General features: G+C 48.3%; 1 protein-coding gene across 19 annotated transcripts in view, besides 10 other annotated features; it reads left to right on the forward strand.

Moving 5' to 3' along the window:
- Positions 1-14001, forward strand: part of IL16 (interleukin 16) — a 131347-nt gene that overhangs the window by 110564 nt on the left and 6782 nt on the right. For 6 of the 19 annotated variants that reach the window (XM_047432447.1, NM_001438661.1, XM_047432451.1 and 3 more), the window contains 6 exons: positions 3653-3803; positions 6105-7200; positions 8069-8237; positions 10274-10375; positions 12633-12891; positions 13145-13270. In XM_047432447.1, coding sequence (XP_047288403.1) covers positions 3653-3803; positions 6105-7200; positions 8069-8237; positions 10274-10375; positions 12633-12891; positions 13145-13270 — 1903 coding nt within the window. Of the gene's footprint in view, positions 1-1742; positions 3804-6028; positions 7201-8068; positions 8238-10273; positions 10376-12632; positions 12892-13144; positions 13271-14001 lie in introns of those variants that run through there. The other 13 variants (XM_047432448.1, XM_047432450.1, XM_047432452.1 and 10 more) reach the window with 8 other exon arrangements.
- Positions 179-697: an enhancer, noted in NCBI's record as "NANOG hESC enhancer chr15:81585795-81586313 (GRCh37/hg19 assembly coordinates)". NCBI's record gives its function as "activates a minimal SCP1, AML or CMV promoter by ChIP-STARR-seq in naive H9 embryonic stem cells {active_cell/tissue: H9 hESC(naive)}" and the evidence as "EXISTENCE:reporter gene assay evidence [ECO:0000049][PMID:30033119]".
- Positions 877-966: an enhancer, noted in NCBI's record as "active region_9952". NCBI's record gives its function as "activates an Ori minimal core promoter by ATAC-STARR-seq in GM12878 lymphoblastoid cells {active_cell/tissue: GM12878}" and the evidence as "EXISTENCE:reporter gene assay evidence [ECO:0000049][PMID:35858748]".
- Positions 997-1056: an enhancer, noted in NCBI's record as "active region_9953". NCBI's record gives its function as "activates an Ori minimal core promoter by ATAC-STARR-seq in GM12878 lymphoblastoid cells {active_cell/tissue: GM12878}" and the evidence as "EXISTENCE:reporter gene assay evidence [ECO:0000049][PMID:35858748]".
- Positions 3356-3922: an enhancer, noted in NCBI's record as "H3K4me1 hESC enhancer chr15:81588972-81589538 (GRCh37/hg19 assembly coordinates)". NCBI's record gives its function as "activates a minimal SCP1, AML or CMV promoter by ChIP-STARR-seq in naive H9 embryonic stem cells {active_cell/tissue: H9 hESC(naive)}" and the evidence as "EXISTENCE:reporter gene assay evidence [ECO:0000049][PMID:30033119]".
- Positions 3923-4487: an enhancer, noted in NCBI's record as "H3K4me1 hESC enhancer chr15:81589539-81590103 (GRCh37/hg19 assembly coordinates)". NCBI's record gives its function as "activates a minimal SCP1, AML or CMV promoter by ChIP-STARR-seq in naive H9 embryonic stem cells {active_cell/tissue: H9 hESC(naive)}" and the evidence as "EXISTENCE:reporter gene assay evidence [ECO:0000049][PMID:30033119]".
- Positions 5193-5242: an enhancer, noted in NCBI's record as "active region_9954". NCBI's record gives its function as "activates an Ori minimal core promoter by ATAC-STARR-seq in GM12878 lymphoblastoid cells {active_cell/tissue: GM12878}" and the evidence as "EXISTENCE:reporter gene assay evidence [ECO:0000049][PMID:35858748]".
- Positions 5416-5465: an enhancer, noted in NCBI's record as "active region_9955". NCBI's record gives its function as "activates an Ori minimal core promoter by ATAC-STARR-seq in GM12878 lymphoblastoid cells {active_cell/tissue: GM12878}" and the evidence as "EXISTENCE:reporter gene assay evidence [ECO:0000049][PMID:35858748]".
- Positions 8531-8620: an enhancer, noted in NCBI's record as "active region_9956". NCBI's record gives its function as "activates an Ori minimal core promoter by ATAC-STARR-seq in GM12878 lymphoblastoid cells {active_cell/tissue: GM12878}" and the evidence as "EXISTENCE:reporter gene assay evidence [ECO:0000049][PMID:35858748]".
- Positions 9962-11161: an enhancer, noted in NCBI's record as "CDK7 strongly-dependent group 2 enhancer chr15:81595578-81596777 (GRCh37/hg19 assembly coordinates)". NCBI's record gives its function as "activates an origin of replication core promoter dependent on BRD2, BRD4, P300/CBP, MED14 and CDK7 cofactors, with strong dependence on CDK7, by STARR-seq in HCT116 cells {active_cell/tissue: HCT116}" and the evidence as "EXISTENCE:reporter gene assay evidence [ECO:0000049][PMID:35650434]".
- Positions 10546-11076: an enhancer, noted in NCBI's record as "H3K4me1 hESC enhancer chr15:81596162-81596692 (GRCh37/hg19 assembly coordinates)". NCBI's record gives its function as "activates a minimal SCP1, AML or CMV promoter by ChIP-STARR-seq in primed H9 embryonic stem cells {active_cell/tissue: H9 hESC(primed)}" and the evidence as "EXISTENCE:reporter gene assay evidence [ECO:0000049][PMID:30033119]".

Below are 14001 nucleotides of genomic sequence, written 5' to 3' on the forward strand. Positions count from 1 at the left end.
CTGGAATTTAAGGTTCCTTTCTTGTGTCATTTTTCACTCACCATGAAGGAAAAATACCAGGGCCCCTGCAGGGTCTCAGTCTTTGCATGTGGATCTTTGAGTGTCCTGCTTGTAGGGAGAATAGTGGCTTAAATAACTAAAAAGGGGCCTGGCACGGTGGCTCATGCCTGTAATCCCAGCACTTTGGGAGGCTGAGCCGGGTGGATCATGAGCTCAGGAGTTCAAGACCAGCCTGGCCAAGATGGTGAAACCCTGTCTCTACTAACAATACAAAAATTAGCCGGGTATGGTGGCAGGTGCCTGTAATCCCAGCTACGCAGGAGGCTGAGGCAGGGAATTGCTTAAACCCGGGAGGAGTGGCTCCTTCCAAGGGCTATTGTGAGGATTAAAGGTAACCACTTAAGGCAAGTACCTGACAGCATCTCAGGCATATTAGCATTCATTGCCATGATCTTTCCCCATCAGGCCCCTTAAAGCCCTCCTTTCCACCCCTTGCATAAAAGGCAGACTGACTGACAGACAGCTGCTGTGTCTAGAACCATTTTATGCGCAGGCTAACCACACTGAGTACTTTCATGTACATTGTGTCAATTAAATCTTACAACCACCTGATGGTGAGAGTCCCAGTTGTGCAAAGAGGGAACTGAGAAACTCGCTCAAGTTCACATTGCTAGTGGGTCACAGTTACCCACTATGCAATGCTGAGTTTCCCATCCTTACCCAGAAGCTGTCTCCCCCATCACGGAATGGCCCTGCAGGGGCCCTGGCCCTTCCCTTAAGCACACCGTGGGCAGGTGGGAGGGGGCCTCTGGAAATCCCCTAAAACAATCTACAGTGAGGGTTGGCAAGCTTCAGGAGGGGTAGCGGTGGAGACGGGATGTTGAGTAGGAGGGGTGAAAGTGAAGGAGGGAGGAGGAAGCCAGGTTACTAAAAAGGAAGTGCAGTTTTGCAGAGCGCTGGCAGGATGTGGCTGGTTAGCAACACATGATGGAGTTATCAGATGGATCTGTTCTCCCACCCCCTCTTTTAAGCCCATATTTCATTTTCCCTTGGGCCTGAGACCTATGAGTCCAGAAGGGCAAATCAGGAGCAGCCAGCTGAGAAGCCAGTCATTTTGCCTTCCTCCTGGAGGCCCAGAAAAGGAGTGCAGTTGCCACAGCAGGTCTGTCCCAGTGATGCCCTTGGCAGAGCCACATAGGGTCAGGGAATATTCCCGAGTAAGGCGTCTGGAGAAGGAACTGGGGTGTCCTCAGGGAAGCCCAGGCAAGGAACTTCCCACAGGTCATCTTTCATGCCCTGTGTGCCTCAGCAGAATACAGGGCTCCCTCCTGTACCTGCCCCCAACAGCACCGTCTCCTGGAGACAAGGCCGTTCTGCAGCTGCCCTCCTCTGTTTGCTCTGGTCTGTCCCACGTGGCCAGCAGATCCTTCTCCCACAAACATTTCCATAAAAGCAATCAGCACGACATAATTTTATTGGGCACTGGAGAGGCGGGGGTCACAGAGAAAGGATCATAGCACGCAATAGAAAACAGGAAGCAATTTGCTTGAGGTCACTCTCAAAATTTCCTTGACCATTCCTGGGGATTTCTCACTGGATGTTTTCTTCCGTGGCCACAGTGTCCACTGTCTCACTCTCCCACTTTTCCCTCCCTGCAGTCTTTTCTCTACAGGGTCCCAAGACTGTTGTCAAGCTGCTATGGATGACCCCCAAGTCTTTCCCATCTACTCTAATTCAAGGGGACTTAACTCTCACAACCAATATGAACTTTGGGATATTTTCTTCAACAAAAAACTAACATCCCTCTTATAAAAAATCAGCCTAAACTCTCCCCCGTGCTTTAAAAAACTTGCTTAAAAAAACACAACAGGATTTTCGAAGAATCCTTTCTTAGAAAACAAACAAAAAAACCAAACAAAAACGTACTTTCTCCCCACTATGCTGAATCTGCTCTCTCCCTCTTTCCTTCTTTCTCTTCTCCCTCCCTCATCCACCAAGCATGGTTCCAGGAAACACTAGTAAGAGAAAAATTTGTGTAAAATCAAATTTATTTCAGGGGCTAATTCTGAAGTCTCCCATGAAGAGGATGCAATATTGGATGTGTTGATGAAAAGACAAAACACATTTGTGCTGTTCTAAGTTGTAAAGCTGCATTGACTGCAGTTGGTATCACATGTGGCTGCCTGTAAAAGAGCTAACAATTCATGAATGTCAACAGATGTCAACTTACAGAGCTCCCAACCAGGTGAAATTAAATTTCATCCCCATGTAATTTCTCTTGTGGACAAGAGACTTAGAGATCATCAGGCCAATATTTGGAGCTTCTAATGCCATGACTCAGCCTTACTTTTTTTAAGGGCTAGTTCGAGAAGCTCAATGATTCCTTTGAAATTGGTTGATCTCTCAGTATTTCATAATGCTCTCCTAAAGCTCAGTTCTACAGTAGGGAACTCGAGCTGAGGCAATGCTCTGTGAATACACTTCTAACTTTTGTAGACCTTTGCTTCCTCCAAAATGTTTATTGTCAATGTAGATCTTAAATTTCAGGTCATGGATATTTGCCATTGCTTTTTTAGTCCCAAAGGATGCATTTGTTCCTTCCTCTTTCCTTCCTCTCTGGAAGGAAGCCTGCAGCCATGTCAAATGGCCCATCATTACACAAATCTGGAATGAACCGGACGTGGAGGCCACCGCAGTATAGCAAAGCATTTCTCTTGCAGACAATCAAATACAGGTGGCATCATTTTGATGATGTCTGCTTTCTCAATCTTTTTTTCCAGATGGGTATTATGTTTGGTTGGGCTATGTCTCTGGAACACTATTTTTCTGCCTCTCTGCCTGCAAAATTCTTACTCTGTTTATGAAGCAGACAGAAAGTACTTCTCTAGGAAGCCTTCTCCACCTCTGGGATGGAACTGGTCTCTCTGTTTCCTCTGGGCCCTGACAGTACCTTAAGCACACTGTGTGATAATCCAAACTCTTCAAGTATTGCATAGCTATTCAGAGCCTGGTTCATCTTGTCCCTAGGCTGTTTTGGGAGGACCCCAAGGCTGCATCCAGGCTCAGTGGTGGAAACAATTCTGCAACAGATTGAGGATGTCACCCTAGGTGCCACAGAGGGGAGCAATGGCACAGGTGCTGAGTATCTGTCATCTTTTGCAGAACACTTACTAAATATTTGAAGAGTGCTTAACAAGTGACAGCAATTGACAAGCATTTTCCTGAGTGCTCTAACCTTAGGGAACACTAGCTGCCAGGTTTTTTTGCTGCCTTGTTTCTACGCTGCCCTATACCCTCCCGGGGTGGGTAGTTCACCAGATGCAGTTGTAACTGAAGCAATGCCAGTCCCTCCACACTCAAAGCCTTTTGTTCCTATCATAAAGAGTCAGGGTCTTCAAGTATGTCAACAGTATGAGCCCATGACCTGGATACCAGGTTGCTGGAAGTCAAGGGATGCTCTGCATGTCTAGGAGGTGCTGGCTCTGCCACGTCAGCACCAAGGAGAAAAGAATCCTCTTTACATGGCTGCTGATGAACTTCTCACTGAAAGCAGCTCAATATCCGTTTTTCCGTCCCAATCAAAGCGTGTCTCGCCTTCTCACAGCTTGAGGCTACCGTTTTGACATGGTCTCGCTTCCTGTTTACACCACAGGAAGCGAGAGAGCTGCTGCCACTGCTGCTACCACAGGAAGACACAGCAGGGAGAAGCCCTAGTGCCTCTGCCGGCTGCCCAGGACCTGGTATCGGCCCACAGACCAAGTCCTCCACAGAGGGCGAGCCAGGGTGGAGAAGAGCCAGCCCAGGTAAGCTTTCATTGAGATCTTCCAAAAGGAAGGGTCTTTTGAAAAAAGGTGCAGGGATAAGATAAGAGCACAAATTGGCCTGAGGATCAGAGTGCTCTGCATTGACATCACCACTGGACCTGGCTGATCAACAGTCAAGGGTTCCAGGTGCTGGGCAGCAGCACCGTGGAGGTGCTGTCCAGGGTGGGGAGCCTCCTGGGTGGACGGGTGATGCTGTGGGGGTGGCAGCAGGAATGCAGGCCATTCTGGATAATTGGGAGGATGGAGCCCTTGGAAGAGGTCCAAAGACACACCCACCCAGCCATCCTGGGCAGCTACCTCTAGGGTGCCAACATTCCAGTTGCAACAGTCCTGCTGCATTCAGGATTTCTGAGTCAGAGAATGCAACGCCAGAAAAGTATAAATAGCATCTACCAGTGGTCACCTCCTCCATGAGGTGGATAGCAAGGGTGTGTCCACATGGTACACCTGACAATGCTAAGACATGACTTGAATATTTATTTGCTTGCTAGAGAGAGCATAGGACTTGAAGTCAGGGAATCCTGGATCTGTCTGTCATTAGTATGATTCTGAGCAACCTACTTTGCCTTTCTGAGCCCAGATTCACTCATCAGCAATGTGTGGAAGAGCACGTAGACCCCAAGCATATGATGCATTCAGCAAGCACACATTGAATGCTGGCTTCGTGAGGCCCTGTGCTAGATGCTGGGGGGAGAGAGAGAAAGGGATGAGACCAGGTAGTCAGGTCCTGCCTCCAAGGAGCAACTAGTAGTGGCAGGAAATAAACATATAGACTATAAAACATATGACTGTTTGAGTAACACTACAGAAAAGCTCATGAAAGACTTTTGGAGGGCTAAGGGACATTTTGGAAAGATCTAGCACATCTCACCCAGAGCAGAGGCCCTGTGGGTGGAGGCTCCTCTCCCTTAGTCACCCTAATTGAGGAACATTCTAGCAAAAGCAAACGCCTCAGTGTTTAACTGACAGGAGGTTGTCACTCCAATCTGCAAAGGGCTTGCCTGTGGAACCTCTGCCTCCTGATTCTCACAACAGCACCTTACAGCCAAGCCATTCAAAAATGCAGAAACAGGCTGGAGGCCTGGGCTCACTTGCCCAAGGCCAGTCTCTTAGATTGTGCAGAATTTCTCTTTGATATCATCAAGGTGTAATGCTCCATGATTCACTTCTTTTGAAACCTGGCATTGAGACAAGGGACAGGAGGGATCAGAGTTCCTTCAACTGGGTTGCGTTCCAGTAGCAAGCATCCCCCAAGGCACACAGGCCAGCCTCCCTCTGCCCCTGGGAAAGAGAGCCAGGACACCCTCTCCCTTACCCATGCAGATATGATGCTGGTTCAATGCTGGCTTCTGAGAAAGACTCCTATGTGCTCCAGGGCATGCCTGAGGTCCTGGCTGGCACAGAGCAGGTTGCACATTGCAATCCCCTGCTCATCACATTCCCAACACCCAGGCTGCATCCCAGGTATCTTCAGTCAGTACCTAGGGGTGGGCGTCAGTATTTTTCAGGGCCCTCCAGATTCCAGTATGTAGCCAAGGTGGAGAATCCTACTTCACAGATTCCTTTCTACCTGGAACCTTTTCATCAGCTTTTGAGGGAGGGAAAACACTCCTTTGCCGAGAGCAAGCTGATCAATGACCTGTGTATAGGCAGAGCAGCAAACACACGGCTTCAGGGCCAGGCAGGTACATACATGGGAAATGCTGGCTGGGTGAGAGGGAGCGTGAAGAGCTGTGGGAAGCCGAAGTGGCCCCATCAGAAGCTGTGCACAGGCACCTTGTTTTTAATGACACGGGTAGGTCAAAGCACAAACAGCTGCCAACTCATGACCTTTGTCTTAAAAGTTTAAACGGCAGGAGAACTGCTTTGGCTTTTACACATTTAACATGGTATCTTGGAGGCTCCTTAGTGCAGTAGAAAGGACATGAACTTCAAGAGTCAGGAGACACAGGGTCTTGCCTGAGCACTGCCATCAGATGGCCCCTTACCCTTCTTGAAATGTAATATGCCAGAGGTCGGCCCAGATATTCTCTGAGCACCCTTCCAGGCCTAAAACACTAGGATACTGTGAGATTAACTCCTACTTCTGGTCCTTCACTCCTGCCTGTTGGCAGCTCAGTCAGGTAATAGCACCTGGAGTTCACCCACCTGGGTGTCCCCCACTTCTGCTAATCTCCTCCTCTTGAATCCTTCTTGCTGTTCAGCTTGGAAACTAGAATTTAGGAAGAAAAGTCACTGTATGATGTAATGCACAGCTTTGGCCTTGTTTCTGCACTGTAGTGACCCAAACATCCCCGATAAAACACCCACTGCTTAAGAGGCAGGCTCGGATGGACTATAGCTTTGATACCACAGCCGAAGACCCTTGGGTTAGGATTTCTGACTGCATCAAAAACTTATTTAGCCCCATCATGAGTGAGAACCATGGCCACATGCCTCTACAGCCCAATGCCAGCCTGAATGAAGAAGAAGGGACACAGGGCCACCCAGATGGGACCCCACCAAAGCTGGACACCGCCAATGGCACTCCCAAAGTTTACAAGTCAGCAGACAGCAGCACTGTGAAGAAAGGTCCTCCTGTGGCTCCCAAGCCAGCCTGGTTTCGCCAAAGCTTGAAAGGTTTGAGGAATCGTGCTTCAGACCCAAGAGGGCTCCCTGATCCTGCCTTGTCCACCCAGCCAGCACCTGCTTCCAGGGAGCACCTAGGATCACACATCCGGGCCTCCTCCTCCTCCTCCTCCATCAGGCAGAGAATCAGCTCCTTTGAAACCTTTGGCTCCTCTCAACTGCCTGACAAAGGAGCCCAGAGACTGAGCCTCCAGCCCTCCTCTGGGGAGGCAGCAAAACCTCTTGGGAAGCATGAGGAAGGACGGTTTTCTGGACTCTTGGGGCGAGGGGCTGCACCCACTCTTGTGCCCCAGCAGCCTGAGCAAGTACTGTCCTCGGGGTCCCCTGCAGCCTCCGAGGCCAGAGACCCAGGTGTGTCTGAGTCCCCTCCCCCAGGGCGGCAGCCCAATCAGAAAACTCTCCCCCCTGGCCCGGACCCGCTCCTAAGGCTGCTGTCAACACAGGCTGAGGAATCTCAAGGCCCAGTGCTCAAGATGCCTAGCCAGCGAGCACGGAGCTTCCCCCTGACCAGGTCCCAGTCCTGTGAGACGAAGCTACTTGACGAAAAGACCAGCAAACTCTATTCTATCAGCAGCCAAGTGTCATCGGCTGTCATGAAATCCTTGCTGTGCCTTCCATCTTCTATCTCCTGTGCCCAGACTCCCTGCATCCCCAAGGAAGGGGCATCTCCAACATCATCATCCAACGAAGACTCAGCTGCAAATGGTTCTGCTGAAACATCTGCCTTGGACACAGGGTTCTCGCTCAAGTGAGTTTCTACACCCGGTGTTTCTCTTTACCTTTCTCATCTTTTTCTTTCTCATCTTTATTTTTAAAAATAATCCTATATATAATTTAAAAAATTCCCAGATATATTGATTAAAGAATTGTTCTGCCTCTTTCTTTCCATGTGTGTGCAGATGTCTGAGTGTGTGTGTGTCTGTCTGTAGGTATTACACCTCTGCCTTTCACATTAAGGAGGAGTTTTCACAACATCTGGCTTCAGGAGGGCTGGGAGGTAGGAGGTGGGACTGGCTCCCTGGTGAATTGCTCATGAGGGCTGACATACGCCTGTGGAGATTTGGAAGGTTGATGCACATCTGAAATGTCCTGCGGTTACTCAGAAAGACCAGAATGAGGCCAGGAAATTATCCATCAGGAATTCTTACTCTCCAAATGGAATCCACTTGTACTCTGCACGTGGGTTCAACTCCCTCGTCAGGGAGTTAGGATGTCTGGGTCCTAGTCTCAGCTTAGGCACTGATTCTGACTATGAGCAGGTTCTTTCCATGCTCACCCTCAGATTCCTTGTCAGTTGAAATTAGGAGATGGATGAGACCTTCTATGCAGAACCAAGAGGATGTCAGACGTGCCATAGGGTCCCTGCTGTAGGGCTGGGGCTTGGTCTTCCCTCTGATCAAAGTAGCTCTGCATTTATTAGTTTTATTTATTATTCTTACACTGCTGGGAAATATCTGTAGAGTGAAGGTATGCTAGTATCTACTCATAGATTTGTTGCATCAAATAATATGCACATAAGTGCTTGGCACCACACCTGGGACATAGTAATTATACAATCACTGTTACCTCTTTTTAATATTGTTGTTCATACTGTGTGTTGTTTCTCCTTATGAAAGCCTTTCAGAGCTGAGAGAATATACAGAGGGTCTCACGGAAGCCAAGGAAGACGATGATGGGGACCACAGTTCCCTTCAGTCTGGTCAGTCCGTTATCTCCCTGCTGAGCTCAGAAGAATTAAAAAAACTCATCGAGGAGGTGAAGGTTCTGGATGAAGCAACATTAAAGGTAGGTTTCCTTTGTAAGCATCTGCAGTAACCAATGGCTTATTATGGCTGTGTGGCCACCTTAGTTGGGCCAGAGGGGAAGTAGCTTGAGTAGCCTGCTCACATCAGACCCAGGTTGCGTCCTGTGATGGTGGGACACTGTAGCACTTGACCACAGTAAGACCTTCCATTTGAAGAGAGCCTTTTAGCTTGTGAACCACTTTCAGTAGATTGACTTCTTGCATCTTCTTTTGTCATTTTATAAATGAGAAAGGTAAGGCTCAATCAAGGTTACAGAACCTGGGTTTTCTGTCTCCAAGTTCAAGTTCAGTGCTGTTTCCACATTCCATGTGCTGCTGTCCTGGCATGTGTCTGTTGTGGGATGCTGTCCATTGTAAACAATGTGGGTTACAAGAGCTCTCACCTGGAGCTTTCATTATTTCCACTGTGCATGGAGAGGTGGCTGATCCCAGGGCTCACAAGTCCCCCACGCTTCAGTCAAGTCATTCTGAAAGTCTCACTTCCCATATGTTTTCTGAGCATGACCCAAAGGGGTGTGGGGAGGAAGTGGCCAGGCTGAGCTGGGGCCAGCAGTCAAATGAGCTCAGGCTCATGGGTCCTGCACCCTCTAGGTGCTGCCCCAGGCCTCCGTAGGCTTTTGGCACTAGAATGATCCAGGCTAGGATGAGAGGATAAGGAGGTTCTCGTTTTCCATACAAGGAGGCCTCATAGCTGCAATTTCCACATCAAGAGTGTAGGTGAGTCTGATGAGCCCAAGGTGCTGCTGTGCTGAGATTCTTTCGCTGTGGCTTTCACTTGTCACCTGGGACCATCATCCCCCAGGATCTTACTCAGTGCAAATGAAATAACAGAGGCAGAGCGTGTAAAACACAAAGAGCCATCCTGCCTGAGCTGCTCTGGGGAGAGTATTTGCTTTCTAACATGAGAAGAGCCTTCTACAAGGCAAGTAACCTGATACTTGGGTAAAAGTTGAGAGAGTTGGGCTAGTGTTGGGGCTTGGAGGTGAGGGTGCAGTGAGGTACATTCATCCTTCCATGCCTTTGGGTCTTAGGGGCTCCAAGTCTTAGGATCATAGGGACAGCTGCAAGTCAGGTGCTCTAGTGACGCTGAGCAAGTGAATTCTTTGACATAAGTTTACTCCTTAGTGCCAAGGTACAAACAGGTGCCCCAAGAACCTGTAGGTGTACTTTATTTGGTCTGCATGGTGATGAAAAAAATATTGAATTCTATACATGATAAAACCTGAATTGAAACCTGGACTTTAGGGAAGTGATCTGGTAGCGCTAGTTCTGTATGCCTACGTAGAGCTGACCCTTTGAGCAGATGTACTCGTTGGCGCTCTGCAGTTCCTATCACACATCTGCCCATTTGGCTCATTTTAGGGACCTGCCTGACTCCTATAGGCATCTGAGTTTGAGACCCCTGCTCTAGACTGGAATAGGAGTCTCTGACTGTGTCCTGGCTCCATGGGAGTCCCCGTCTAGGCTAGGAAGTACCGTAGTAATGTGTGTGTGTGTGTGTGTGTGTGTGTGTCACACTTGCACACTGTGCATTGGGGCAGGATGTTAGCTGGGCTTCCTTAGTGCTGCTGCTGTGACCCATGGAGAAGTAGAAGGGAAGAAGGAGCAACCAATTCCTGCAGAACAGCACTGACCCCTGTTTTGTTTTTTGTTGTTTTTTTTTTTTGTTTTGTTTTACCTGAAGTCCTACAACCTGACTTCATCTCACACTGTCCAATATGCTGATTTCTGGCTGACTTCATGGCACTCCCCCTGCCCGGCTGTGGACAGGGTGAATGAGAGAGGAAAATAATTATGCTTGCTGCTTTACATACATTTTTTTTTTCTTCTAAGCTTCCCATGACTCCTGAAGGTCCATTCTTTACAGATGAGGAAACTGAGGTTTGAGGAGGTGATGTAACTTGGAGGCTGGCCAAGCTGGGGTTTGAGATAACAAATCAGTCTGATGTCAGTCCGATGTTAAATTGTTCATCCTCTTGCAGTAAAATGTTTTTGAATGTATGTATTTCCTCTGCAGCAATTAGACGGCATCCATGTCACCATCTTACACAAGGAGGAAGGTGCTGGTCTTGGGTTCAGCTTGGCAGGAGGAGCAGATCTAGAAAACAAGGTGATTACGGTGAGTGGCCAAGTGAAGGGGCATGTCACAGCCAGAGGCAATGGTTCTGGGGGAGGGGGACACACTTGCCAGGAAGGGGCCCTGTGCTGGGGAAATGAAGAATGCATGACACTAGGCCACTGGGCAGGTCCTGTCCACTCAGCACATCCCAGAGCCTGGGGCTGCGTGGAGAGGGTAGCAGGCCTGGCCATGGGCATCTTTTCCTGTGGGTCCCACTATTCTGGCTCATCCAATCTGATCAGCATTGGCTGCTGCCTTCAGGTCACCTGTACCTGACCCAGATGGTTTCTGGTTCTGCCAGTTTTGTGGAGCCATGCTGCGGCTGCTCGCTCTCTAAAGCCGAGTGCATTGCTGTCATCCCAGGGCTGTGTTGTCTCAGGGTATCCTTTGTGTAGGCTGTGCTGGGCTCATTTGAATTTCCATGCCCAACTGAAAACAAATCCTCCAGTTCACAGCATCAGCCAGCATTCAACATACCACACCCCCTTGCAGTGGCAATCTGGCATGTTCCTGCGTGTCACTTCAGAGTCAATCATGTCAGTGGTGACTTCCTTGATTTCCTGATAAGTTTTCTATCACATAAAAAACACTTAAAACCTGTAAGTCTCTATTTCTCTCACTGAGTGCAGCTGAGTATTACAAAAAGATTCCTGACCGTGTAGTTTACTTTCTACTTGAAGAGGAGGAAAGAGAGCTTGCCTGTGGGAATGGCACTTTGGGTATTTTTCTCTGTCCATGAGTAGCAACTTCTGTCCACGTCATCTGGCCAGTCACCCTTGAGACACTGCAGACAACAGGAAACTAGGAGGAAGGCGCACATGTTGGCTGAGCACATGCACAAAAGCTTCTTTCTCCTTCTGTGTTTGAGCATTTCTCTTCCTTTCCAGATGATTAAAAGGGAACTAACGTAGAGCACCATCCACGGCCATGCTGAGCACTCACTGACCTGTTGTCTAAATTCATCCTACCCACACTTTGGATTGATAAATTGGTGGCATTTATGCTTCTTTTATAGAGGAGGAACCTGAGGTTCCTCCTTTAATTAACTTTAATCTTCGTTGGCCTAAAAATCCTCTAGCATTGAGGAACCTGAGGCTCAGAGGAGAGGTTCTGCTTCATGCTTGGATGTTACAGCCTGGGGATTCTAACCATGTAACAGAATTTTTCTAACACCAAAACAATTTAGAGAAGCAAAGAGCTTTGCTCCTATCATAAAAGCAAAACTACAGGTACCACATTTTAGTGGTTTCCATGCATGCTATCACTCAGTCCTCTTAATTATAATGGACCTCATTAAAGAGGCTGAGGCAGAGACATGAGATATTTTTGTGTGTTTGTTTATCCCACATATCTTGCAGAAAGGGGACCAAGAGGTGACTGGAGGTAAAGAGTCAGAATTTCTAGGGGAGGAGCTATAAAAATGTCTAGACTGCCTAGGAGAGTGTTTCTCAAAATGCATTCTGCCAAATGAGACCGAGAATTTCTCTATGAGAAAAGAATTCTTTGTTGAAACACTTTGGGAATCCCCATAATACCCTGCCAATACTTAGAAATCTGCCATGCAGATTTGCATTGTAGACCCTCTAAATGCCTTTTGCTTAGAAATCTGCTGCCATGCAAATTTGCATTGTAGACCCTCTAATGCCTTTTGCTTTTTAAAAGTAGACAATGTCAGAGCTTTTGTTTCACCCAGTATTCCTCAAGTTTCTTTGATTTTAAAAAATTTTTCTTGGCCGGGTGTGGTGGCTCATACCTGTAATTCCAACACTGTGCGGGGCCAAGGTGAGAGGATTGCTTGAGCCCAGGAGTTTGAGACCATCCTGGGCAACACTGGGAGACCCTGTCTCTATTTTTTAAAAAATAATAGGAAAAGCCTTTTTCTTACACAATACCCGTTAATATGCCATAGAATCAGTGCCTTGAGAAAACTACTCTGGGGACTTCTGACCTAGGGCAGGTGAAGCAAAAGATTTTATATGGAATCCCAACTAGAATCGTGGTGGTACACTATAGGACGTTGTGTTGGGATGGATTCTGAGGGCTTACCTGGTCATTACTGCTGGTGATCTCTGCTCTGGATGGAGAAGGAGGGAATGCTGGCCTCTGTGCCAGCAGCTCCAATCTAGGACACAATTATCTTTAATCTTTGTTGGCCTAAAAATCCTCTAGCATTGACTAACCGGTTCAATCCTCCTCCAGCAAGTATGTGGACTGGACTTGTGTGATTTCTGGTCCTGACTTCCTTTGGTTTGCTCAGGTTCACAGAGTGTTTCCAAATGGGCTGGCCTCCCAGGAAGGGACTATTCAGAAGGGCAATGAGGTTCTTTCCATCAACGGCAAGTCTCTCAAGGGGACCACGCACCATGATGCCTTGGCCATCCTCCGCCAAGCTCGAGAGCCCAGGCAAGCTGTGATTGTCACAAGGAAGCTGACTCCAGAGGCCATGCCCGACCTCAACTCCTCCACTGACTCTGCAGCCTCAGCCTCTGCAGCCAGTGATGTTTCTGTAGAATCTAGTAAGTTCTCCCAACTCAGTGGAAGCCACATGGGCCACATCCTCTTTGGCCATTTGGGGCCAGACCTGATGGGGCTACTCAGTAATTTGTGACCCCAAGAATGTGTGGCTGCCTAGTACACTGCCTGAGACGTGTTTACATGTGCCTGTGTGCAAACACGGGGGCTGTATCACCCCGGGCTCACTTGAAGCCCAGGGCATCTGTGGCCTGGGAGAGGAGAGGATCCCTAACAGAGACCTTGTGTTTTTCTCAGCAGCAGAGGCCACAGTCTGCACGGTGACACTGGAGAAGATGTCGGCAGGGCTGGGCTTCAGCCTGGAAGGAGGGAAGGGCTCCCTACACGGAGACAAGCCTCTCACCATTAACAGGATTTTCAAAGGTGTGGGGTGTGTCTGGTTCTTTGCGTGCTCTCCAGTTGTGGGCATGTGGCCAGGCCCCCAAAAGGCTTCTGGGCACTTTCTGGGCTATGTTGTTTCCCACAACTCCATGTCCTCTTCATAGGCATGCTGGTCCTTTTAGGGCTCAATTCTGCTTTTTCTACTTTTTCTCCTTTGCTCAGACATCCCCTCAATCCCCCCTCTGTTTTGATGGGTCTTCAAAAATACCTAAGTCCTGGGCTTGGTTCGGGTTGGCAGGGCCAGGACTCTAGAGTGGGGCAGTGAGGCACTGGCCTGTGGGGCAGAATTTTAAAGGGGTGCCAAAACACTCAGTAACTCAGATCGATACTATTTTAATGCAGCGTGTTTTTTAAAATTAATTTTAAAAAAACATGTTGGACAAAATATCCAAGTTTAAATCAAGACAGAGTCTGACTTTGTACTGCACACTTGGCCTCATTTGCCTTACCCTAGTCCTGGACACGTCAGCTCCTGCCTTTATTTAAAATGTTGATAGATATTTTGTTCATCAGGGATTGGAGTACAAACCAGTCTGATATGGGGGTCACTTGGATTTCCCTGTGAAAATCATGAATGACTGTGGCTACCATGTAAAACCATCCCTGATTCTTTGGTGTTCCTCAAATTGGAGGTCTCCAAGCCACAGAGCAAGGGGTTGTAGAGAGAGGAGTACTGGACAGGGAGGCAGGTGGGCCAGGTTCTAGTCCCAGCT

The sequence above is a fragment of the Homo sapiens genome, chromosome 15 (genome assembly GCF_000001405.40).
Source record: "Homo sapiens chromosome 15, GRCh38.p14 Primary Assembly".
Taxonomy (NCBI): domain Eukaryota; kingdom Metazoa; phylum Chordata; class Mammalia; order Primates; family Hominidae; genus Homo; species Homo sapiens.